Source organism: Homo sapiens, chromosome 17, assembly GCF_000001405.40.
Source record: "Homo sapiens chromosome 17, GRCh38.p14 Primary Assembly".
Classification (NCBI taxonomy): Eukaryota; Metazoa; Chordata; class Mammalia; order Primates; family Hominidae; genus Homo; species Homo sapiens.
The window spans coordinates 76,470,776-76,493,267 of record NC_000017.11 but is presented as its reverse complement, the minus strand read 5'-3'; the positions used below and the strand labels follow the sequence as shown (position 1 = coordinate 76,493,267).

The following is a 22,492-nucleotide window of genomic DNA, read 5'->3' as shown; positions in this document are numbered from 1 at the left end:
CAGCTTTCTAAAAATGCCCTGGTTCCCAGCAGGGCCACAGGCAGGGAAAATGAGTTTCAGTTTCTGTGGCAAGGGAGCTGGGGAGAGAAGCAGTTTCCTTGTCCCCAGCCCTCACCCTAGCATCCTGTGATTCAGCCGCGAAGACGTGGCCCCAAGCCTCCCACCGCCCTCCTTCTGTCCTGACTGCCCACTCCCAGGGACACCAGGTGACGCCTCGCCCACCCGCGGCTCCGGAGCCAGGCTGGAAGCAGCTTCCCGCCCAGGGGGTGGTTTCCCCACATCCTGTCTTCAGATGGCTTGAGCCCCCTAAACTTCCTGGTCATATCCAGTGGATAATAATGGTCTCCCTCTTTCCTGTCTGGAGGGGAGGGGGCTGCTTACTTCTTATCCAAGGGCCTGTCCCGTCCCACCCCTGTGTCCCCATTTCTGGCCACACGCAGGCTCAGCCCTTGCATCAAGCCTCTGCCTGTTTCCCTCTGGGCTGCACCTGTCACGCTCTCCCTGCCCTGCCCCATAAAGCCCATAGAGCCCAGGGCTTGTGGGGACTGCACCCTTCATTAGCAAGACTCAGAGCTTCTAGAAACCCACTTGTGTGGGGGTGGGGAGTGCAGGGAGATTGGTGGCACCAGGTGGAGAGAGGGAACTGCACCTGGGGGAGTTGGGAGGGGCAGTGGGCTGGGCCCGCGTGGAGGAGTGTGGCTTGTACAGTCCGCATGGCGGGGGGACCCTTGTACCCTGCCTGGACTGGCTGGTAGAGCTGTTGGGGACCTCCCTGGGGGTGGCCTTGCTTACCCAGCTGTGCGGAACAGGCTTGGTTGGGAGTGCCTGGCCTCACCCTTTGTGGGGAAACCAGATTCTCTGGGCAGCAGTGGTAAATGGTGTCTGAGTCTGTGTTTCGTTGGATGTGTCTGAGGTCCGCTGCTGCCAGCTGGGTTATGCTGTCTCCAAAGCTATCTGCAGTGGGGGAGGCCCTGAGCCTGGGCAGGGGAGGGTACAGAGGCCTCAACCCATGGGACCTGGGGGTGATCTGAACTCTGCACTTCACTTTTTTTCAGGATTTCCCCCGCCCCACCCTAAAGGAGGAGGAAATAGAGTCTGTCCCACCCTAAGCCCCAGTCCCTCTCCCCAGGTCTCTTTGGCATCTCCCAGCTGGGCTGGGGCTGAAGGCCCTTCTCTGGGGTTGGCCACAGTGAGGCCAGGATCTGGCTGGGCAGGTGGCAGTGTTCCGCCTGTGGGCTGGGTGCGGAGGCGGGCCTGGGGGTCTTAGAGAGAGAGCGGCGGATGTGACTGCGGGCCAGGAGGAAGCCTGGTCCCAGGATGTCACCATTTCCCCTGCAGTGAGCAAGCATCTCTAGGGCTCGGAGATAAGTGCTGGGTGGGGTAGCTCCAGCTCTCCAGCGCTTTTTTCTGTCTGGTTCCTGCCATCTGGACTTGAGCCATGAGGAAGGCCAGAGTGGGTCTGACAGTCCCCACTCCTTTCCCCGCTGAGCCCCAAGGAAGGGGCTGGGCCTTTGCACCCCCACCCCAACTTCTGCACGAGTTGGAGGCAGTTGATCTCAATGGTGGAAAGTGGCTGGTGCAAAGTCATGCTTCCATACTCCATGTTTAGGCTTCATGGGTGTCAAAGCTGGGCCGTGACCTTGTCCCATTCCCTCAGAGAAGGGAACTGAGGCCAGAGGGTGGAGCTGCTCTCAGGCCGCTGCCCAGGCCTCTTGTGCTCTGCGGTTCAGATGGCACTCCCGATGCCAGGCTCCTGCCCAGGAAGACATGCCCACCCGCCCTGGCCCTGTCTCTGCTGTCTGGTGTCAGGCCACCTCTCTTCGGGACCCCCCCCCAACTGATTGCCCTGGGGCTGACCAGGCTCTCCTCTCCCTCAGTGTTGGGTTTTGGGAGCCTCTCTCATCAGGAGGTTGGCACAGATGCCAGCCATGCAGCGGATCCTGGGCAGGGGTCTCAGCTGGGATGGCCTGGCCTTGGGACAGGGAGGCTGGCTGGGCAGAACCCTAGAACCAAAAGCGGTGCCTGTGGTGGGCTAGGGAGCTAGGTGGGGAGTCTAGTGGGGAGTCTAGTGGGGAGGTCCACTAGACACTCGTTCTGGCACAGCATGCAGCGTCCTCCATCCTGGCCCTGCTGTGGGTACGGAGCCAGCAGGGCAGGAGCTCTCAGTGGAGCCCTCCAAAGAGGGCTGCTTCCTGGACCAGCTGCAGGATGAGGGAGACCCCTTCTGTCCAGGGCTGACATAGGCTGACCACCGCCAGCCCCACCCTCTCACTAGCTTCCCATTCAGTTAGCCATTGATGAGGGCTCACTGGGTGCAGGATCCTGGGCTGCCCGGGGTTGGGTAGGGGACTCCTACATGTAGGTAAATCCGCGAGATGCTGGAGAGAGCAGGCAATAAAGTGGTTGATTCTCTCTGGAGGTGACATTTTACTTTCCTAGTAGGGCTTGGCCAGGCAGGCAAGGTGGAGCCTGGTGTGCCAGGCGCAGCGCTTCAGATGAGAGGAGGTGAGAGCTTGGGGATGGCACAGGGAAGTGTTTTGTCTGGTGAGGGTGTGGCAGGGAGGGCAGGCCTGAAGGGACCTCCAGGGAGGTGTGATCAGATCTGGGTTCCAGAAAGATCCTACCTGCTTGGCGACCTTAACTGAGCTGGAGTCTGGAGGCCCCACCCTTGCACCCAGCTGCTTCCACTGCTTGCCTCCCATCCCCCAGTGCCAGTTCCCCAGGGCAGTGCCCTCCCCATGCCCTCTTGGTGTACCCTGGTCCCAAAGGAGGCCAAGCTATGAACTTTTCTTGCAGAGGTCCCAGGTGAGGCTGTTGTCCTGGAGCTGTCCCCAGAGCAGGCTTAGGATGAGGGGACCTAGCCACAGCTTCAACCGAGTGGGGTCCCGGTGTGGCTGCCAGGGCTCCTTGGCACCAACCCAGCCCAGTGGGTTGATCTCTGAGGACCTCGTCATACTCAGCCGGGCAGTCTGCCCTGGGGGGTGGGGTCAGGACTCCCCAGCACTTCGGGATGGAAGGAGGCGAAGCCAGCGCTGCTGGACTAGCCTTAAAGAAGCGGGAGACATCCTAGCTCCGCCTCAAGATTTCTCCTCTGCACCCAGCATTCTGCTCCCCAAATGTCCCAAATATGCAGGGGGTCAAGGAACATTGCTCAGTGGAATCAATGGGGAGCGTGGGCTACTCCCCAGCCTCTGGTTTGCCCCATAGCAGCCCCTTGGGCACCGCTGGGGACCCCCAGGCCTCTGAGGAGCTTGGTTTGGAAAGCGCTGGAATGCTGGACCAAGTTCCCTCTCTGGCTCCCTGAGAGGGGGTCTTCTAGCCCCAGTCTTAGGGCAAGAGGAGCCCGTCCCCTAGGAGCCTCCAGGCCCTGGAGCCAGACATCGGGCGTCCTAGCTACACCCTTTCCTGGCTATGTGAGCTTGGGCAAGTTACCAAACCCCTCTGAGCCTCCATTCACCATCTACAGAATGGAAGAGACGCTAATGTCACCCTGGAAGGTGTTTTGAAGGGTAATGTGTGTAAAGGGCCAAACAAGGCCCCGCACAGTTAAGGACTTAAATCCTGCCCGGCCCCGGGAGGGCTTCCGGCATCTTGGGGTTCCCCTCAAAGGATGGCCTGGGCAGGACTTCTTAAAAACAAACAGGCGGCTGGGCGCGGTGGCTCACGCCTGTAATCCCAGCACTTTGGGAGGCCGAGGCAGGCGGATCACGAGGTCAGGGGATCGAGACCATCCTGGCTAACATGGTGAAACCCCGTCTCTACTAAAAGTATAAAAAATTAGCCGGGTGTGGTGGCGGGCGTCTGTAGTCCCAGCTCCTCCGGAGGCTGAGGCAGGAGAATGGCGTGAACCCGGGAGGCGGTGCTTGAAGGGAGCTGAGATCATGCCACTGCACTCCAGCCTGGGCTACAGAGCGAGACTCCATCTCAAAAAAAAAAAAAAAACAGGAATGCCCCTGGGTTTCGTGCTTTAAAATGGTTGATTTTATGTTGTGTGACTTTTAAGTTCAATAAATTACCAATCAAAGCAACAAAACACTTCCAGATCATTTGAACTTTGCCTTAAGTATCAGAAGGCAGTTAGTAATTCCTGGACTTTGAATGTTAAATATGTGGGGTTCTTTTGTTTTGTTTTGTTTTGTTTCGAGACGGAGTCTTGCTCTGTCACCCAGGCTGGAGTGCAGTGGCGCGATCTCGGCTCACTGCAACCTCCATCTCCCGGGTTCAAGTAACTCTCCTGCCTCAGCCTCCCGAGTAGCTGGGATTACAGGCCCACCACACCCAGCTAATTATTTTGTTGTTTTTGGTTTTGGTTTTGGTTGTGAGACAGAGTCTCACACTGTCATCTGGGCTGGAGTACAATGGCGCGATCTTGGCTCACTGCAACCTCCGCCTCCCATGTTTAAGTGATTCTCCTGCCTCAGCCTCCTGAGTAGCTGGGATTACAGGCGCCCGCCACCACACCCGGCTACTTTTTTGTATTTTTAGTAGAGATGGGGTTTCACTATGTTGGCCAGACTGGTCTCGAACTCCTGACCTCGTGATCCACCCTCCTCAGCCTCCCAAAGTGCTGGGATTACAGGCGTGAGCCACTGCACCCAGCCCCGGCTAATTTTTGTATTCTTAGTAGAGACAGGGTTTCACCATGTTGGCCAGGCTGGTCTCGAACTCTTGACCTCATGATTCCCCCACCTTGGCCTCCCAAAGTGCTGGGATTACAGGTGTGAGCGCCTGCACCCTGCCCAAAAATATGTGGTTTTGTTTGTTTTTTGAGGCAGAGTCTCCCTCTGTCGCCCAGGCTGGAGTGTAATGGCACAATCTCGGCTCACTGCAACCTCCGCCTCCCAGGTTCAAGCAATTCTCCTGCCTCAACCTCCCGAGTAGCTGGGACTAAAGGTGTGCACCACCATACCCAGCTAACTTTTGTATTTTTAGTAGAGATGGGTTTTTACCATGTTGGCCAGGCCGATCTCGAACTCCTGACCTCAGGTGATCCACCTGCCTCAGCCTCCCAAAATGCTGGGATTACAGGTGTGAGCTACTGCCCCTGGCCGAAAGTTAAATGTTTCTGTTCTGTTCAAGTAATATTGAGAAAAATAACAGGGGCCATCTTGACTCTAATGTTCTGCTCCAATCAGGTTCCCAGACCAGAGGACTGTTGTTAGGTGATTGGCTGTGAACACCCTGAGGCCAGTGCCCCTCGCTGCTTGGCACTCGGAGATGCCTGATTAGCACCTTTAATCCCTTACCAGTGAGGCAGGTGGAATTGGCCCCATTTTACAGATGGGGAGACTGAGGTGAGGAAGGTTAAAGCACTCAGTGGTGGGCATGCCCCCTGGAGCCGGCCCTCCTTTCTTCCAGCTGTGAGTACCCAGGAAGCTGCACCGTGTGGCCTGGAGCTGTCTATCTGTCCTTCCAGCCACCTGTCTGTCCAGCCACCCTTCCACAGACTGAGGCTTGACACCGGAGCATCTGTACAGAGCAAGGAGAAGACAAGAACATGCTCTAAAGCCCTTCACAGCAAGACCCAGGAAGCCGCGGGCAAACTCAGACTCGAAGGTAGGAAGCTGGGCGGCCGGGTGGCTGGACCCAGGGCGCTGGCTGCTGTGCCCACGTCCAGATACCTCCTGCGGGGCCCACGCTCTCTGTCTGAACAGCGGTGGACAGTGAATGAAGAAAGTCAATTCAGGGAGCGAGAGGGAGGAATAAGGGCAGGGAAGGGACGGGCGCGGTGGCTCACGCCTGTAATCCCAGCATTTTGGGAGGCCGAGGTGAGTGGATCACCTGAGGTCAGGAGTTCGAGACTGGCCTGGCCAACATGGCAAAACCCCATCTCTACTAAAAATACAAAAAATTTAGCTGGGCGTGGTGGTGCGCGCCTGTAGTCCCAGCTACTTGGGAGGCTGAGGCAGGAGAATCGCTCGAACCTGGGAGGCAGAGGTTGCAGTGAGCCAAGATCATGCCACTGCACTCCAGCCTGGGCTGCAGAGTGAGACTACATCTCAAAAAAAAAAAAAATTTGCCAGGCATGCTGGCTCACGCCTGTAATCCAAGCACTTTGGGAGGCCAAGGCGGGTGGAGGCCAGGAGTTTGAGACCAGCCTGACCAACATGGAGAAACCCAGTCTCTACTAAAAAATACAAAATTAGCTGGGCATGGCGGTGCATGCCTGTAATCCCAACTACTCGGGAGGCTGAGGCAGGAGAATTGCTTGAACCCAGGAGGCGGAGGCTGCAGTGAGCTCAGATCGTGCCACTGCACTCCAGCCTGGGCAACAAGAATGAAACTCAGTCTCAAAAAAAAAAAAAAAAAAAAAAAGGCAGGAAGCGAGGTGGGACCGGCACTGCTCAAGGTGGGGCAGGAGGGCACTTGAACTGCAACCAGGAGGCTGAGAAGAGCCAGCCCCTCCTCTGTGTGATGGTCTGGGACAGAGTGACTGGCTCGGACAGAGGCCCAACATTATGGAGCACCTGCTTCATTGAGAGAGAATTCACACACCAGTCGATTCACCCATTTAAAGTGTACCATCAGTGTTTTTATTTATTTATTTATATTTTGAGACAGGGTCTCACTCTGTTACCCAGGCTGGAGTACAGTGGCGCGATCACGGTTCACTGCAGCCTCGACCTTCCTAGCTCAAGCCATCCTTCTGCCTCAGCCTCCTGAGTAGCTGGGACTATATGCACGCACCACCATATCTGGCTAATTTTTTAATTTTTTTATACAGATGGGATCTCACTATGTTGCTCAGGCTGGTCTTGAACTCCTGGGCTCAAGTGATCTTCCTGCCTCAGTCTCTCAAATTGCTGGGATTACAGGCATGAACCACCGCTCCCAACCTTCAGTGATTTTGATATATTCACAGAGGCTGGGCACAGTGGCTCACACCTGTAATCTCAGCACTTTCTGAGAGGCCGAAGCAAACTTGAGGTAAGGAGTTCGAGACTAGCCTGGCCAACATGGTGAAACCCCATCTCTACTAAAGATACAAACATTACCCAGGCATGGTGGCTTGCGCCTGTAGTCCCAGCTACTCGGGAGACTGAGGCAGGAGAATCGCTTGAACCTGGGAAGTGGAGGTTGGCAGTGAGCCAAAATCGCACCACTGCGCTCTAGCCTGGGTGACAGAGCAAGACTCTGTCTCAAAAACTATATGTGTGTGTGTGTGTGTGTGTGTGTGTGTGTGTGTGTGTACATATATATACATATTCACAGAATTGTGCCACCATCACCACAGTTTCAGATTGCTTTCATCACCCCCTAAAGAAAGCCTGCACCCTTTAGCTGTCACCCCCTGCCCAGTCCCCACCTTCCCAGTCCTAAGAACCACTACCCTGCTTCTGTCTATAGATTTCCCTCTTCTATTCCGAGCTTTCATATGAATGGACTCATGCAGAGGTGGCCATCGTGACTGGCTCCTGTCCCTGGACACAATGTTCTCAAAGCTCGTCCACGTTGTAGCTTTGTTAGGACTTCCTTCCTTTTGTGGCTGAAGGATGCTCCATTGTGTGGCTCAACCACATTTTATATTTGTGCCTTCATCTGCTGACGGGCGCTTGTGCTGTTTTCCTGCTCCGGCTCTGCAGAGCCGTGCTGCCGGGCACTTCCTGTCCAGGTTTCTGTGTGGACACAGTGCTTCAGTGTGTGAAGCCATCTGCTCATTTTTTGTTGTTGTTTGAGACGGAGTCTCACTCTGTCGCCCAGGCTGGAGGCCTGGAGTGCAGTGGCGAGATCTCGGCTCACTGTAACCACACCCCCCGTCCTGGGTTCAAGTGATTCTCCTGCCTCAGTCTCCCGAATAGCTGGGACTACAGTTGCCCACCACCACACCCAGCTCTTTTTTTTTTTTTTTTTTTTTTGAGACAGAGTTTTGCTGTTGTTGCCCAGGCTGGAGTGCAATGGCGAGATTTCGGCTCACCGCTAACTCCACCTTCCAGGTTCAAGCGATTCTCCTGCCTCAGCCTCCCGAGTAGCTGGGATTACAGGGATGCACCACCATGCCTGGCTAATGTTTTTTGTATTTTTAGTAGAGATAGGCTTTCTCCATGTTGGTCAGGCTGGTCTCGAACTCCCGACCTCAGGTGATCCGCCCGCCTCGGCCTCCCAAAATGCTGGGATTACAGGCATGAGCCACCGCGCCCAGCCTAATTTTTGTATTTTTAGTAGAGATGGGGTTTCACCATGTTGGCCAGGCTGGTCTTGAACTCCTGGCCTTAGGTGATCCGCCCACCTCAGCCTCCCAAAATGCTGAGATTACAGGCGTGAGCCACTGTGCCCGGTGACATCATCCACTCATTTGCTCCTCCAGACGCTTCTCTGGGGAGGAACCGTTACTCTCCCCCTTGTGCAGGTCAGGACTTGGGTGATGAGTTGTCAGGTGACTAACCCGACAGCAAATGCAAGACCATTGGCCCAGTATGCGCTGCCGGCTCCATTGCTTTTGATCATGAACCCCACCCCCAGCAGAGCTTGGCCAGTTTGAGACAATGAGGGGCCCAGGAAAGCTGGGTCAGGGGTAAGCAAGGGCACAGGAAGAGACGAAGAGAGGTCCTGGAAGTCCCAGTGAGACGTTTGGACTTTGGGTGAGAACAGGAAATCCTGGGAGAGAGTTGAGCAGGGAAGCAACAGGTGTGATCTATGCTTTTGGGAGGTGACCCCAGCTGCGGTGCGGAGAATGATCAGTCTCAGGGGGCTTGAGGCAGCAGGTAGAGGAATTGAGAGAGTGGAGTGAGCCTCCAGGTGAGGAGATGGTGGAGGTGAGGTGGAGATGGTGGAGGTGAGGTAGAGATGGAGGAGGAGGACAGGTTCAGATGGCTGCTGTCTCGCCGACCCGTGCATGCCACGCCTCAGCCCACACACGCCCTTGGCTGAAGGGCTCCCAGGGAGATGGGTATGGAGTCCCTGGCTTCGTACAAGGAGAGGAAAAACAAAACTTGCCCAGGAACCTTGGGATGTGAAGGAGAGGAAACAGCTGGGGGGGTTTATTTTTATTTTTATTTTTATTTTTGAGACGAAGTTTCGCTCTTGTTGCCCAGGCTGGAGTGCAATGGTGCAATCTCGGCTCACTGCAACCTCTGCCTCCCGGGTTCAAGCAATTCTCCTACCTCAGCCTCCCGAGTAGCTGAGATTACAGGCATGCGCCACCACACCCAGCTAATTTTTTGTATTTTTAGTAGAGACGGGGTTTCTCCATGTTGGTCATGCTGGTCTCGAACTCCCGACCTCAGGTGATCTGCCCACCTTGGCCTCCCAAAGTGCTGGGAGTACAGGCATGAGCCACCGCGCCCGGCCACAGCTGGGGGTTTTAACAAGAAGACGGTCATGGGGCAGAGCAAGAGACGAAACGAAGAGAATGAAACAGGCAGAGGGTGTTAATTCTGGTGGAGTCAGAGGGGAACTGGGGACTGGTGGCACACGCACAGGAAAGCCCCAGATGGGGTACTGGGCAACAGCCACTGAAATTTGGGATGTACTTACTCTTCAACCCAGCCATTCTGCTTCCAGAACTTGGTCTTGTAATAGTTAAACAAGCACACGCGGTGTATGCAAGGGTGTTAGTTGCAACATCAGACCCATGTCTCAAATTCCGGAAACATCCTAAATAACCAGCAGTCTGGACTTAAGTAAATCTTGGTGCATTCCACTTATGAAATCTTTGCATTCATCAAAAAAGACAAGAGGCCTAGGGCCGGGTGTGGTGGCTGAAACCTGTAATCCCAGCACTTTGGGAGGCCGAGGCAGGTGGATCACCTGAGGTCAGGAGTTCGAGACCAGCCTGACCAACATGGAGAAACCCCATCTCTACTAAAAATACAAAATTAGCTGGGCGTGGTGGCGCATGCCCGTAATCCGAGCTTCTTGGGAGGCTGAGGCAGGAGAATCACTTGAACCTGGGAGGTGGAGGTTGCGGTGAGCCGAGATCGCGCCACTGCACTCCAATCTGGGTGACAGAATGAGACCCCATCACAAAAAAAAAGAAAAAAGAAAAAAAGTAGGTCTGTCCGTATGTGTTGACAGGGAAAGATGTCTACAATGCAGGTAAAATGATAGAGTGTGGGCTGGGCTTGGTGGCTCACGCCCATAACCCCGGCTACTTGGGAGGCTGAGGCAAGAGAATTGCTTGAACCTGGGAGGTGGAGGGTGCAATGAGATTGGCTCACAGCAATCTCTTCCTCTCGGGTTCAAGTGATTCTCCTGCCTCAGCCTCCCGAGTAGCTGGAACTACAGGAATGAGGCACTATGCCTGGCTAATTTTTGTATTTTAGTAGAGATGGTGTTTCACTGTGTTGGCCAGGCTAGTCTCGAACTCCTGACCTTAAGTGATCCATCCACCTTGGTCTCCCAAAGTGTTGGGATTGTACGTGTAAGCCACCACACACAGCTGTGTGATTTTTTTTTTTTTTCAATGAGCATATGCCACTTTTATTGTTAAACAGTGTTCTCACTATGGGGGAGAAAAGTGCCAGACAGGTGGCAGTTTCAGTTATCTTTTTTTTTTGAGACATTTTCTCACTCTGTCGCCCAGGCTGGAGTGCAGTGGCATGATCTTGGCTCACTGCAACCTCTGCCTCCTGGGTTCAAGCAATTCTCGTGCCTCAGCCTCCCAAGTAGCTGGGATTATAGGCATGCGCCACCACACCTGGCTAATTTTGTATTTTTAGTAGAGACAGGGTTTTACCATGTTGGCCAGGCTGGTCTCAAACTCCTGACCTCAGGTGATCCACCTACCTCGGCCTCCCAAAGTGCTGGGATTACAGGCATGAGCCACGCACCCAGCCAGTTTTAGTTATCTTTGAAAAATGAACTGGGGCTGGGCACAGTGAGCTTGCACCTGTAATCCCAGCACTTGGGAGGCCAAGGCAGGCAGATGGCTTAAGCCCAGGAGTTCCAGACCAGCCTGGCTAACATGGAGAGACCCCCACCTCTACAGAAAAAAGACAAGAAAAATAAACTGGGTGGCCTTGGGGGACAGGGACCAGCACAGTAGGTTTCTCATCTCTCGGCCCACCTCGGCCTCCCCAAGTGCTGGTATTACAGGTGTGAGCCACCGTCCCTGGCCTGCATCTTCATGCTCTTTTCAGGGTTTGGTTCTTGCCTCAAGCGGAGAGATCAGAAATTGAATGAGGTAGTAAGTTGAGGACCTCCCAGACCCATATGGTCCGGGATGCAAATGATGGTCAGAAATAGACCTCACTCCAACCACTGGGCCTGAGGTTCAGCCTGGTTCAGGCTGGGTTTAGTCCCCAGGGATGGTTTGTTTTTGGTTTTGTGTGTGTGTGTGTGTGTGTGTGTGTGTGTGTGTGTGTGTGTGTGTGTGTTTTCAGACAGAGTCTTGCTCTGTCGCCAGGCTGGAGTGCAGTGGCGCGATCTCGGCTTACTATAACCGCTGCCTCCTGGGTTCAAGCCATCCTGCCTCAGCCTCCCGAGTAGCTGGGATTACAGGCACGTGCCACCACGCCTAGCTAATTTTTTGTATTTTTAGTAGAGACGGGGTTTCACCATGTTGGCCAGGATGGTCTCGATCTCCTGACCTCGTGATCCCCCCACCTCGGCCTCCCAAAGTGCTGGGATTACAGGCGTGAGCCACCGCGCCCAGCCGCCCAGAGATGTTTGAACCAACTTTAGGCAAGTTGGTTCTTGGTCTGGGCTGCGTGCCCTGGCGTCAGGGTCCTGACACTGCGCCACCCCGCACCGCCCACCGCTGCTCTCCCGGTCTCCATTCCAGCCCTCCCGCCTCCTGCCCACAATGGCCTCTGCTGACAAGAATGGCGGGAGCGTGTCCTCTGTGTCCAGCAGCCGCCTGCAGAGCCGGAAGCCACCCAACCTCTCCATCACCATCCCGCCACCCGAGAAAGAGACCCAGGCCCCTGGCGAGCAGGACAGCATGCTGCCTGAGGTAAGGGGGCTGGCCTGGGGGCTCACTGTTCTGCCGTAGGTAACAGATGTACCCACGTGACACTTTCTGGTCAGTTTCACTTCCCAGAGGGGCTCCTTCCTGAGCCACAGCTGCTGTCTGTGCAGCCCTTGACTCGGGCCCTACCCCCTCCTTCCTGGGCCCGAAATATCACAGGGAGTAAAGCCAGGAACCGGGCTCACTCTCATCGTGGTCAGGGGCACACAGGAAGGGCCAGCCCCAAGAAAGTGCTTGCTGGTAACCCTGGGGCCCTGGCTGTTCTCATTTCACCCCCTAGGCCTGGACTCTCAGTCTCTCTTCTGAGGGCTGGGGGCTTTCTTTGACATGGGTGAGCAGGGGACAGTGTCTCCCTGGCATCAGCAGCCCGCCTAGGCAGTGTCCGCTTCCTTTGGGAGGACGAGAACAGATCAGTGTTTCTGACAGTCTGGTCTAGTGCCCCATAAAGAGCTCATTGAAAACCGGCTTGTGGCAGCGTGGGCTTCCTGCACAGTCTGGAGTATAAAGGGAAGCGATGTTAACGCCCCCCGTTCACCCGAGAGCTCTGCAGAAGACACAGCAGCAGGCAGGAGCGTCATGGTGCAGAGGGGAGGGACTGGATGAGGAGTTAGGAAAACACACGCTGGCCTTGACGGAGAAAAGTTAGACAATGGCGATTTTAAATTCAGAATGAGGCTGGGCGAGGTCGCCTCATGCCTGTAATCTCATCACTTTGGGAGGCTGAGGCAGCCAGATCACTTGAGCCCAGGAGTTCGAGACCAGACTAGACAACATAGCAAGACTCTGTCTCTGCAAAAAAAATTAAAAAAGAGCTGGGTGTGGTGGCACATGCCTGTAATCCCAGCTACTTAGGACACTGAGGTAGAAGGCTTGCTTGAGCCTGGGAGGTCGAGGCTCCAGTGAGCTATGATGGTGCCACTGCCCTCCAACCTGGGCAACAGAGCAAGACTCTGTCCCAAAAAATATATATATAGGCCGGGCATGGTAGCTCATGCCTGTAATCCCAGCACTTTGGGAGGCCGAGGCGGCCAGATCACTTGAGGTCAGGCAGGAGTTCGAGACCAGCCTGGCCAACATGGTGAAACCCCGTCTCTACTAAAAATACAAAAATTAGCCGGGTGTGGTGGCACATGCCTATAGTCCCAGCTACTCAGGAGGCTGAGGCAGAAGAATCGCTTGAACCTGGGAGGCGGAGGTGTCAGTGAGTCGAGACCACACCACTGCACTCCAGCCTGGACAATACAGTGAGATTCCATCTCCAAAAAAAAAAAAAAAAAAAAAAAAAAAATATATATATATATATATATACATATACAAACACACACACACACACACACACACACACACACACATTATATATATATATTTCCAAATGAAAGCAAATTGGGGCATAAATCAGGGTTGAAGTTTGTTCTCAGGGTTTTCAGAATAGGAGGCTAAAGAAAAGCCAGCCCAGGACCTGGGCTGCACACACCACCGCCTGCCCTCCCTCCTTCCTCCCCAAGAGGAAGAACCCAGCCTACTTGAAGAGCGTCAGCCTCCAGGAGCCACGCAGCCGATGGCAGGAGAGTTCAGAGAAGCGCCCTGGCTTCCGCCGCCAGGCCTCACTGTCCCAGAGCATCCGCAAGTGAGCCCCCCTACACCCAAGCCCAGCACCCCCCACCCAGCAACCTGTGGATTCTCGGGGCCTGGACATGATTGGGCCTGGTCCCTGCGTCCCCTCTCTGGAAGGAGGAGGCCGGCATTAATGAGCAATGTCTCCCTGTGGCCTATTATCATGGTATAGATGGGGAAATGGGTATGTGCTTTGCGGAATATCACGGTGTGGAGGCTGGGGGGCTTCGAGGAGCTGGGTGGATCAGTGTGGGGGTGCCTGGGGCCCTAGCCTGGCTCCTCACGCTCCCGTCATCCCCTGCTTCTGCTCATCTGGTCACTGGGCTCCAGCCAGGGGCCTCACAGGCAGATCCGCCCCCCACCTCCCTGTAGGCACGCGGGCACACACGTGCCATCACCCCTTCCACACACTCAGGTGCACAGGCGTAGACAAGCGTATGCCCACCTGTCCCTTGTCTGCTTCCGCAGGGGCGCAGCCCAGTGGTTTGGAGTCAGCGGCGACTGGGAGGGGCAGCGGCAGCAGTGGCAGCGCCGCAGCCTGCACCACTGCAGCATGCGCTACGGCCGCCTGAAGGCCTCGTGCCAGCGTGACCTGGAGCTCCCCAGCCAGGAGGCACCGTCCTTCCAGGGCACTGAGTCCCCAAAGCCCTGCAAGATGCCCAAGGTGGGATCCATGGGGAAAGGAGGCAGGGGTGGGGACCCTAATGGCTCTGCTTACCGCCCCCCTCCCTTCCAGATTGTGGATCCGCTGGCCCGGGGCCGGGCCTTCCGCCACCCGGAGGAGATGGACAGGCCCCACGCCCCGCACCCACCGCTGACCCCCGGAGTCCTGTCCCTCACCTCCTTCACCAGTGTCCGTTCTGGCTACTCCCACCTGCCACGCCGCAAGAGAATGTCTGTGGCCCACATGAGCTTGCAAGCTGCCGCTGCCCTCCTCAAGGTGCGGGGCTCCCTCCTGCAGGGCCCCCACCTCTGCCCGGCCTCCCTTCCTTGCCCCTCCCTTCCACTCCTCATAGTAGCATCCCCTAAAGCTCACCTGGGCATCTGCCTACGGTGCCAAGGACAGTGGATGTGCTGGGATCCCTGGGCAAAGAGGGACCCCGAAGCCCAGCACCCAGGCGTCCATCCTTCTGTCTTAAATCTCGTGTGACCCCCTGCCAAGTTTTGGAACCTGGTCTCTGCACTGACTCTTAAGCTGGGGAAGTGGGAAGTGAGATGCATACTTGCTCCTCATCCACCCGGGTTTTCCAAGTCCCTGTTACGTGCTGGGCACCGCGTGCAGAGCCATCGCCATCCTGGCTGAGCTCGCAGCCCAGGGTGAGGGTCACCATTCAGGGTGGTCAGTTTAGGAGAGCGGCTGTTATCAGGGAAGACATTGAGTTAAGCCCAGAAGACACAAGGAGACGTTCACTAGGGAAGGAAGGGAACAGCATTCTCAGCAGAGGGAATGGCCTATGCAAGGGCCAGGAGCCCAGAGGAAGTACAGTGCTTTGAGGGGGCAGCAGGCGGTTTGATGTGGTTTTAGTGAAGGGTGGTTATAGGAGCTGTGGCAGGAGATGGGGTCAGAAAGGTGGGCAGGGACCTGGTATTCCGTGCCAAGAAACAGGGACAGGGAGACATGGCCCAAGCCTCGGGAGTGAGGGTATAGAATGTGGGTTGCTTTGAGTGTTAGGGTACCAGCAGCCCAAGGCAGAGGGGCAGCAGGGACCAAGGGAAAGGTGACTCCAAACTGTGCCAAGAGTGGTGTGCCAACGGAAGCTGGTGTCTCATTTCCTGGCCTTCCAGTCTCAGGAGCTCCTCTTGCCCGTTCAGCTTGCAGAATCTCCACGCTTTGGGCAGGATCCCTCCTCCCAAGGCGCTGCCTGCAGGCGGATGGGCTTGATGATTCCTTCGGTGTTGGGGCTGGGGGCCTAGGTGGCCAGGCTGTGGTCCTGATGGCTGTGCCTCTGCCCGTGCACAGGGGCGCTCGGTGCTGGATGCCACCGGACAGCGGTGCCGGGTGGTCAAGCGCAGCTTTGCCTTCCCGAGCTTCCTGGAGGAGGATGTGGTCGATGGGGCAGACACGTTTGACTCCTCCTTTTTTAGTAAGGCAAGCATGGGGTGTGGGACAGCAGGAGTTGGGTGGGGTGGCCTGGGAGCTGGGTGAGGTGACCTTGGCATTGATCATATTCAGGAACCCCTGAGGGACCCAGAGGCCCACTGCTGGGATGTGGCATGGTCCTATGTGGAGCTGCTGGGCCCCCATCTTTCTGTTGGGTAGGGTGAAGACCTGCGGTGGGGCACAGTGCCACCCGGGAAAGTCACCATTGGGGCTGACGGGCATGTGGCTTCCCAATTCATTGTGAAGAGCCCGTCTGTTCAGCTGTGTCCTGCCCTTGAATTGAGGTTCCGGGGGGCAGTGTTTGGGACAGACTCCTTACACTGTATTTTCTTGTCCCCCACCCCAGGAAGAAATGAGCTCCATGCCTGATGATGTCTTTGAGTCCCCCCCACTCTCTGCCAGCTACTTCCGAGGGATCCCACACTCAGCCTCCCCTGTCTCCCCCGATGGGGTGCAAATCCCTCTGTGAGTGCTGGGGCAGAGTCCCTCCTCCAGGCCAGCCACCAGCCTGGGGGCATCCCCAGACCTCACCCTGGCCCCCAAGCCCCTTCTGAGCACCCTGGTGGGGTCTGGGAGTATTTTGGTGGGGGATTCAGGCTGAAAGCCACCATCCCCACCAGGAAGGAGTATGGCCGAGCCCCAGTCCCCGGGCCCCGGCGCGGCAAGCGCATCGCCTCCAAGGTGAAGCACTTTGCCTTTGATCGGAAGAAGCGGCACTACGGCCTCGGCGTGGTGGGCAACTGGCTGAACCGCAGCTACCGCCGCAGCATCAGCAGCACTGTGCAGCGGCAGCTGGAGAGCTTCGACAGCCACCGGTGAGGTGTCGCCCTGGAGCCCCCAGGAGAGCCTGGAAGGTTCCAAATTCCTCTGGGCCCTCCTGAAGCGCCCCCTTACTCATTCAGCAAGTGTTTCATGAGCATCTTCTGCGGATCAGGAGTGTAGTGACAAGCTCGAAGGCGCACCCTGTCCCAAGGGTTGTGCACATGACCTGGGAAGGGCCAGGGGTGCTTGCTGCCTCTCTTCCACCCCATGCTTTCTGAGCCTGGTCCCCAGCCTTGCTCCCAGACAGCAGTCAGTCAACAAATGTTCATTGAGTGTCACTGCCTGCAGGCCCTAAAATGGAACCCCCAGAGGGTGGAGCAGGGAGGGCAGGGTCGGTCAGAGGACAGTTAGAAGCTGGGGCCAGGGCTGGGCGCCGTGGCTCACACTTGTAATTATAGCACTTTGGGAGGCTGAGTCAGAAGGATTGCTTGAGCCTAGGAGTTTGAGACCAGCCTGGGCAACATAGTGAGACCCTACCTCTACTTTAAAAGAAGAAGCTGGGGCTGGGAGGGAGGGGACTCTGGGAGAGGCTATGCAGAGCCCTTGGGGAAGAACAGGGCATCTGATTTGCAGCAGCCCAATAAACACTGGGCCCAAATTAGAAAATAACAAGCAGGCAGGGCGCGGTGGCTCACGCCTGTAATTCCAGCACTTTCTGAGGCCGAGGCAGGCGGATCACCTGAGGTCAGGAGTTCAAGACCAGCCTGGCCAACATGGTGAAACCCCATCTCTACTAAAAATACAAAAAATTAGCCGGGCGTGGTGGTGCATGCCTGTAATCCCAGCTACTCGGGAGGCTTGAGGCAGGAGAATCACTTGAACCTGGGAGGCAGAGGTTGCAGTGAGCCAGGATCGCACCATTGTACTCCAGCCTGGGCAACAAGAGCGAAATTCCATCTCAAAAAAAAAAGAAAGAAAAGAAAAAGAAAATAACAAGCAATGGCCAGGCCCGGTGGCTCACACCTGTAATCCCAGCACTTCGGGAGGCCTAGGTGGGCAGATCACCTGAGGTCAGGAGTTCGAGACCAGCCTGGCCAACACAGTGAAAACTGGTCTCTACTAAAAAGACAAACAAAATTAGGCAGGTATGGTGGGTGCTTGTAATCCCAGCTACGAGGGAGGCTGAGGCAGGAGAATCGCTTGAACCTGGGGGCGAAGGTTGCAGTGAGCTGAGATCGCACAACTGCATTCCAGCCTAGGTGACAGAGCGAGACTCTGTCTCAAAAAAAAAAAAAGAAAAGAAAAGAACAAGCAATGATAGGTGTGGTGGGTGTCCCGGAGGAGGATAGAGAGGGAGAGTGAACAGCTGGTGGGGAGGGGTGCAGTCAGGACAAACTGTGATGTCATGTGCAAAGGCCCTGGGGCTGGAAGGGCAAAGTACATCCCAGGAAATGCAGGCAAAGAGGCCAGAGAGGTGGTCGGTCAGGCAAAGCTTTGCAGCCAGCAAGAGGGGGTGATTCTGGAATTTGTCCCAAGGCCAGTGGAAAGCTATCAAAAGGTTTTAAGCTAGGAGAGAGATGCTTGGAGGCTCGTCTTAAAAGTTCCTCTGGTTTGAGATGAGTTGACGGGGCAGAACAGGGAGCCCAGGCGAGCCATGTGACCAGGCCAGGGTGGCCCTGTGGCCGGGACTGGGGGTTGGGATAGGAGCTCGGCTCAGCTGACCCGAGGTGTCTCTGCACAGGCCCTACTTCACCTACTGGCTGACCTTCGTCCATGTCATCATCACGCTGCTGGTGATTTGCACGTATGGCATCGCACCCGTGGGCTTTGCCCAGCACGTCACCACCCAGCTGGTGAGTCGGGTCAGGCTCCATGCTGGGGGTCCCAGCCTCTCCTAGGAGGCCTCAGTGTCGTGGGTACCTAATCCCTCCCACCGCAACAATCTGGCCCCAGCAGGGTGGTGCTCACCATAGCCTGGCCCCTTCCTGGAGGCTCTATCCTGGGGACAGCTGCCCCAGCTCCCCATGCCCAGGGCCCACACTGTTCTGACGCCCTCCTCTGTGCTACCTCCACGATAGGTGCTGCGGAACAAAGGTGTGTACGAGAGCGTGAAGTACATCCAGCAGGAGAACTTCTGGGTTGGCCCCAGCTCGGTGAGGGCCCAGGCTGGGGGACATCATCTGAGCCAGGAGTCCCTGTGCCCTGTCACTCCCAGCTGGGCAGGTGGGCTCCTCACCCACCCGCAGGCCCCTCATCAGGGGAGACTCTGCGGGGCAGAGGTGGAGTGATGGACCCCTCCCAGGTCTGGGGCTCAAACTCACTCTCTCCCCTCCCTTTCCCTTCCCCAGATTGACCTGATCCACCTGGGGGCCAAGTTCTCACCCTGCATCCGGAAGGACGGGCAGATCGAGCAGCTGGTGCTGCGCGAGCGAGACCTGGAGCGGGACTCAGGCTGCTGTGTCCAGAATGACCACTCCGGATGCATCCAGACCCAGCGGAAGGACTGCTCGGTGGGGGCAGGCCCTCCCTCCTACCCCTGCCAGACCCTGGTCCCGGACTAGCTCCACTTGCCCTGTCCTTCAAGGGCAGTGACCACGTTCCCTCCTCCCCGCCCCACCTTTCCCAGACCCCCATAGATGAGACTGAGCCCTGGGGAGATGGGAAAAGCCTCTGTCCTTGCCCACTCCAGTGGGGGTGACCTGGCCCCGACATGACCCACCAGCCTTCTTCTGCCCTCCAGGAGACTTTGGCCACTTTTGTCAAGTGGCAGGATGACACTGGGCCCCCCATGGACAAGTCTGATCTGGGCCAGAAGCGGACTTCGGGGGCTGTCTGCCACCAGGACCCCAGGTAGGGCCTGGAGCCTCTGCTGGGCCTCAGGGTCAGGCATAGCCATGCCATCTGAGCCACCCACAGGGACGTGGGTAGGTGGACGTGGCACGCTGGGTGTGCCACAGCCCAATCTGAACCCTGTCTCCAGGACCTGCGAGGAGCCAGCCTCCAGCGGTGCCCACATCTGGCCCGATGACATCACTAAGTGGCCGGTGAGTGTCCCTGGCGGGGAGTGGTCTGGGAAGGTCAGGGATGGGGGACCTGCCTGCTGCACAGCCCACTTCCCTGCCGGTGCCCCCTCCTGGCAGATCTGCACAGAGCAGGCCAGGAGCAACCACACAGGCTTCCTGCACATGGACTGCGAGATCAAGGGCCGCCCCTGCTGCATCGGCACCAAGGGCAGGTGAGCGACCTGGGCCCTGGCCTCAGCCATCCCACTGCCCCCCCGAGCTGCGGCTTCCTGTGGGCCCTCTGCTCCTCCACCGTCACCACCCACAGCCGCTGGGCCGATGCCCTCCAATAACTGTCCTTTGCTCCCCTGCTCTGGGGCTACCCATGGTGCGAGCTGGAGGAAGGAAGCTTGCTCCAGAGTCGAAGGTTCTGGATGCGGCATCCCCCTTCCTGCCAGCGATGCCTCCTGTAGCCAGGTGCTGGGCTCTGGGCAAAGGTGGGCAGTGGTTATTCGGCGCCCTGATGTCCCCTCTTGCCTCACCACCCCCTTAGCTGTGAGATCACCACCCGGGAATACTGTGAGTTCATGCACGGCTATTTCCATGAGGAAGCAACACTCTGCTCCCAGGTGAGGCGAGGCAGGCCTGGAGTAGTGGAGGAGAGGACGCTGGGCATGGCAGCCTGCTGGGGCCGGGGCTCACGCACTCCCTCCCATGTCGGAGCCTCAGACTCAGCCTGCTTCTGGGGCGCTGAGCACCATATGCCCACTCCCAGGTGCACTGCTTGGACAAGGTGTGTGGGCTGCTGCCCTTCCTCAACCCTGAGGTCCCAGATCAGTTCTACAGGCTCTGGCTGTCTCTCTTCCTACATGCTGGGTAAGAGGCTCCTCACTGCCCCCGAACCCGACCCCTGTGATGGCCACCCAGCCGGACCCCTGGGGAAAGGTTCCTGGGCCAGGGCATGGCCGGCCCAACCTGCCGAAGCCTACTGCTCCTGAAGTGCCTGGCTGAAGGCCGCTGCCTGGTGTGTCCCTCCCCCAGCGTGGTGCACTGCCTCGTGTCTGTGGTCTTTCAAATGACCATCCTGAGGGACCTGGAGAAGCTGGCCGGCTGGCACCGTATCGCCATCATCTTCATCCTCAGTGGCATCACAGGCAACCTCGCCAGTGCCATCTTTCTCCCATACCGGGCAGAGGTAAGGATGTGGAGGATGGGACCCCTTCCGCACATAGGGGGCCAGCCCTGCTGCTCCTATTCCACCCACCTGGGATCTGCCAGAGGGACACGGTGCCCCTCCTGTACTGGGCTCCACAGCGGAGGGACAGCTAATCTGGGGGCTTACTGGCTGGTCTCTTAATCCCAGTGAGAGGGAACAGTGATGCTCTTGAGTCACCCTGTCCCTCCACCGCCTCATTTATCTTCCTAACCGTGCCCACTGCCTGACAGTATGCTAGGTATCTGCAGGTCGAGCGGTAGGAAATGGCCTCCGTGCGCCGTCGGCAGTCTGATCAGTTCCACCTGACTGATCTAGTTTGTTCAGTGTCCGTCCTCTCCCCACCGTGTGCGGCCTGGAACAGGCTTGTCTGTCTTGCTTATTGCTACGGACCCACACCAGGCACGTACACAGTAGGCGCTCAGTGTTTGCTGAAAGAATGGGCGGAGCAGGCCCAGCTTTGGTCCAGCAGCTCCAGCCGACCCCCTGCCCCTCAGCCTCAGGGGTCCCCATGCCTGCCAGGGAGGAGCTGATCGATGGGATGACCCAGGGTGCAGGCCCGGCCCAGGCCACCCACCTGATGCCTGAAGCCACGTCTCCCCTGCCCCGCCCCAGGTGGGCCCGGCCGGCTCACAGTTCGGCCTCCTCGCCTGCCTCTTCGTGGAGCTCTTCCAGAGCTGGCCGCTGCTGGAGAGGCCCTGGAAGGCCTTCCTCAACCTCTCGGCCATCGTGCTCTTCCTGTTCATCTGTGGCCTCCTGCCCTGGATCGACAACATCGCCCACATCTTCGGCTTCCTCAGTGGCCTGCTGCTGGCCTTCGCCTTCCTGCCCTACATCACCTTCGGCACCAGCGACAAGTACCGCAAGCGGGCACTCATCCTGGTGTCACTGCTGGCCTTTGCCGGCCTCTTCGCCGCCCTCGTGCTGTGGCTGTACATCTACCCCATTAACTGGCCCTGGATCGAGCACCTCACCTGCTTCCCCTTCACCAGCCGCTTCTGCGAGAAGTATGAGCTGGACCAGGTGCTGCACTGACCGCTGGGCCACACGGCTGCCCCTCAGCCCTGCTGGAACAGGGTCTGCCTGCGAGGGCTGCCCTCTGCAGAGCGCTCTCTGTGTGCCAGAGAGCCAGAGACCCAAGACAGGGCCCGGGCTCTGGACCTGGGTGCCCCCCTGCCAGGCGAGGCTGACTCCGCGTGAGATGGTTGGTTAAGGCGGGGTTTTTCTGGGGCGTGAGGCCTGTGAGATCCTGACCCAAGCTCAGGCACACCCAAGGCACCTGCCTCTCTGAGTCTTGGGTCTCAGTTCCTAATATCCCGCTCCTTGCTGAGACCATCTCCTGGGGCAGGGTCCTTTTCTTCCCAGGTCCTCAGCGCTGCCTCTGCTGGTGCCTTCTCCCCCACTACTACTGGAGCGTGCCCTTGCTGGGGACGTGGCTGTGCCCTCAGTTGCCCCCAGGGCTGGGTGCCCACCATGCCCCTTCCTCTTTCTCCTCCTACCTCTGCCCTGTGAGCCCATCCATAAGGCTCTCAGATGGGACATTGTGGGAAAGGCTTTGGCCATGGTCTGGGGGCAGAGAACAAGGGGGGAGACACAAGTAGACCTCAGGTAGAACGACACTGGGCGGAGCCACCCCAGGGCCTGCTCCCAGGGAGTGCTCGAGGCGCATCAGGCCCGTTTTTTACCAGTTTATATCACGGTCTTCATTTTTAAAAGTAACGCTAACTTTGTACGGACGATGTCTCATGGATTAAATAATATTCTTTATGGCAGTACATTGTCTTTAACGGAGACCTCAGGTAGCATGAAACTGGGATTTGGGGGTGAGGTGAGGGGTCAGCCATCAGCTGCTCAGAGACAGCAGTTTGGCCCGGTGGACAGCAGAAAACTTG

General features: G+C 57.2%; 1 protein-coding gene across 26 annotated transcripts in view, besides 9 other annotated features; it reads left to right on the top strand.

The window, feature by feature from the left end:
- The window catches only part of RHBDF2 (rhomboid 5 homolog 2), a 30,535-nt gene extending 8,160 nt beyond the window's left edge, over positions 1-22,375 (top strand). For 3 of the 26 annotated variants that reach the window (XM_011525250.3, XM_047436751.1, XM_047436756.1), the window contains exons 2-20: positions 5,136-5,294; positions 5,417-5,556; positions 11,723-11,893; positions 13,414-13,535; positions 13,991-14,186; positions 14,259-14,462; positions 15,483-15,611; positions 15,970-16,088; positions 16,244-16,438; positions 18,127-18,238; positions 18,464-18,538; positions 18,734-18,895; positions 19,126-19,235; positions 19,366-19,429; positions 19,526-19,620; positions 19,941-20,016; positions 20,163-20,263; positions 20,429-20,582; positions 21,216-22,375. In XM_011525250.3, the coding sequence (XP_011523552.1) occupies positions 11,744-11,893; positions 13,414-13,535; positions 13,991-14,186; positions 14,259-14,462; positions 15,483-15,611; positions 15,970-16,088; positions 16,244-16,438; positions 18,127-18,238; positions 18,464-18,538; positions 18,734-18,895; positions 19,126-19,235; positions 19,366-19,429; positions 19,526-19,620; positions 19,941-20,016; positions 20,163-20,263; positions 20,429-20,582; positions 21,216-21,635 (2,484 nt within the window). In that variant the 5' untranslated portion in view covers positions 5,136-5,294; positions 5,417-5,556; positions 11,723-11,743 and the 3' untranslated portion in view covers positions 21,636-22,375. Of the gene's footprint in view, positions 1-113; positions 207-5,135; positions 5,769-11,722; positions 11,894-13,326; positions 13,536-13,990; positions 14,187-14,258; positions 14,463-15,482; positions 15,612-15,969; positions 16,089-16,243; positions 16,439-18,126; positions 18,239-18,463; positions 18,609-18,733; positions 18,896-19,125; positions 19,236-19,365; positions 19,430-19,525; positions 19,621-19,940; positions 20,017-20,162; positions 20,264-20,428; positions 20,583-21,215 lie in introns of those variants that run through there. The other 23 variants (XM_047436745.1, XM_047436746.1, XM_047436750.1 and 20 more) reach the window with 16 other exon arrangements.
- Positions 646-1,511: an enhancer, noted in NCBI's record as "H3K4me1 hESC enhancer chr17:74487839-74488704 (GRCh37/hg19 assembly coordinates)". NCBI's record gives its function as "activates a minimal SCP1, AML or CMV promoter by ChIP-STARR-seq in naive H9 embryonic stem cells {active_cell/tissue: H9 hESC(naive)}" and the evidence as "EXISTENCE:reporter gene assay evidence [ECO:0000049][PMID:30033119]".
- Positions 7,835-8,035: a silencer, noted in NCBI's record as "peak3008 fragment used in MPRA reporter construct". NCBI's record gives its function as "represses an SCP1 promoter by STARR-seq MPRAs in K562 erythroleukemia cells {active_cell/tissue: K562}" and the evidence as "EXISTENCE:reporter gene assay evidence [ECO:0000049][PMID:32103011]".
- Positions 9,315-9,515: a silencer, noted in NCBI's record as "peak3006 fragment used in MPRA reporter construct". NCBI's record gives its function as "represses an SCP1 promoter by STARR-seq MPRAs in K562 erythroleukemia cells {active_cell/tissue: K562}" and the evidence as "EXISTENCE:reporter gene assay evidence [ECO:0000049][PMID:32103011]".
- Positions 9,315-9,721: a biological region, named in NCBI's record as "Sharpr-MPRA regulatory region 10531".
- Positions 9,427-9,721: a silencer, noted in NCBI's record as "tiled region #10531; K562 Repressive non-DNase unmatched - State 23:Low". NCBI's record gives its function as "represses a minimal TATA promoter and a strong SV40 promoter by Sharpr-MPRA in K562 cells {active_cell/tissue: K562}" and the evidence as "EXISTENCE:reporter gene assay evidence [ECO:0000049][PMID:27701403]".
- Positions 11,396-11,445: a silencer, noted in NCBI's record as "silent region_9020". NCBI's record gives its function as "represses an Ori minimal core promoter by ATAC-STARR-seq in GM12878 lymphoblastoid cells {active_cell/tissue: GM12878}" and the evidence as "EXISTENCE:reporter gene assay evidence [ECO:0000049][PMID:35858748]".
- Positions 11,506-11,605: a silencer, noted in NCBI's record as "silent region_9019". NCBI's record gives its function as "represses an Ori minimal core promoter by ATAC-STARR-seq in GM12878 lymphoblastoid cells {active_cell/tissue: GM12878}" and the evidence as "EXISTENCE:reporter gene assay evidence [ECO:0000049][PMID:35858748]".
- Positions 12,426-12,495: a silencer, noted in NCBI's record as "silent region_9018". NCBI's record gives its function as "represses an Ori minimal core promoter by ATAC-STARR-seq in GM12878 lymphoblastoid cells {active_cell/tissue: GM12878}" and the evidence as "EXISTENCE:reporter gene assay evidence [ECO:0000049][PMID:35858748]".
- Positions 19,460-19,970: an enhancer, noted in NCBI's record as "H3K4me1 hESC enhancer chr17:74469380-74469890 (GRCh37/hg19 assembly coordinates)". NCBI's record gives its function as "activates a minimal SCP1, AML or CMV promoter by ChIP-STARR-seq in naive H9 embryonic stem cells {active_cell/tissue: H9 hESC(naive)}" and the evidence as "EXISTENCE:reporter gene assay evidence [ECO:0000049][PMID:30033119]".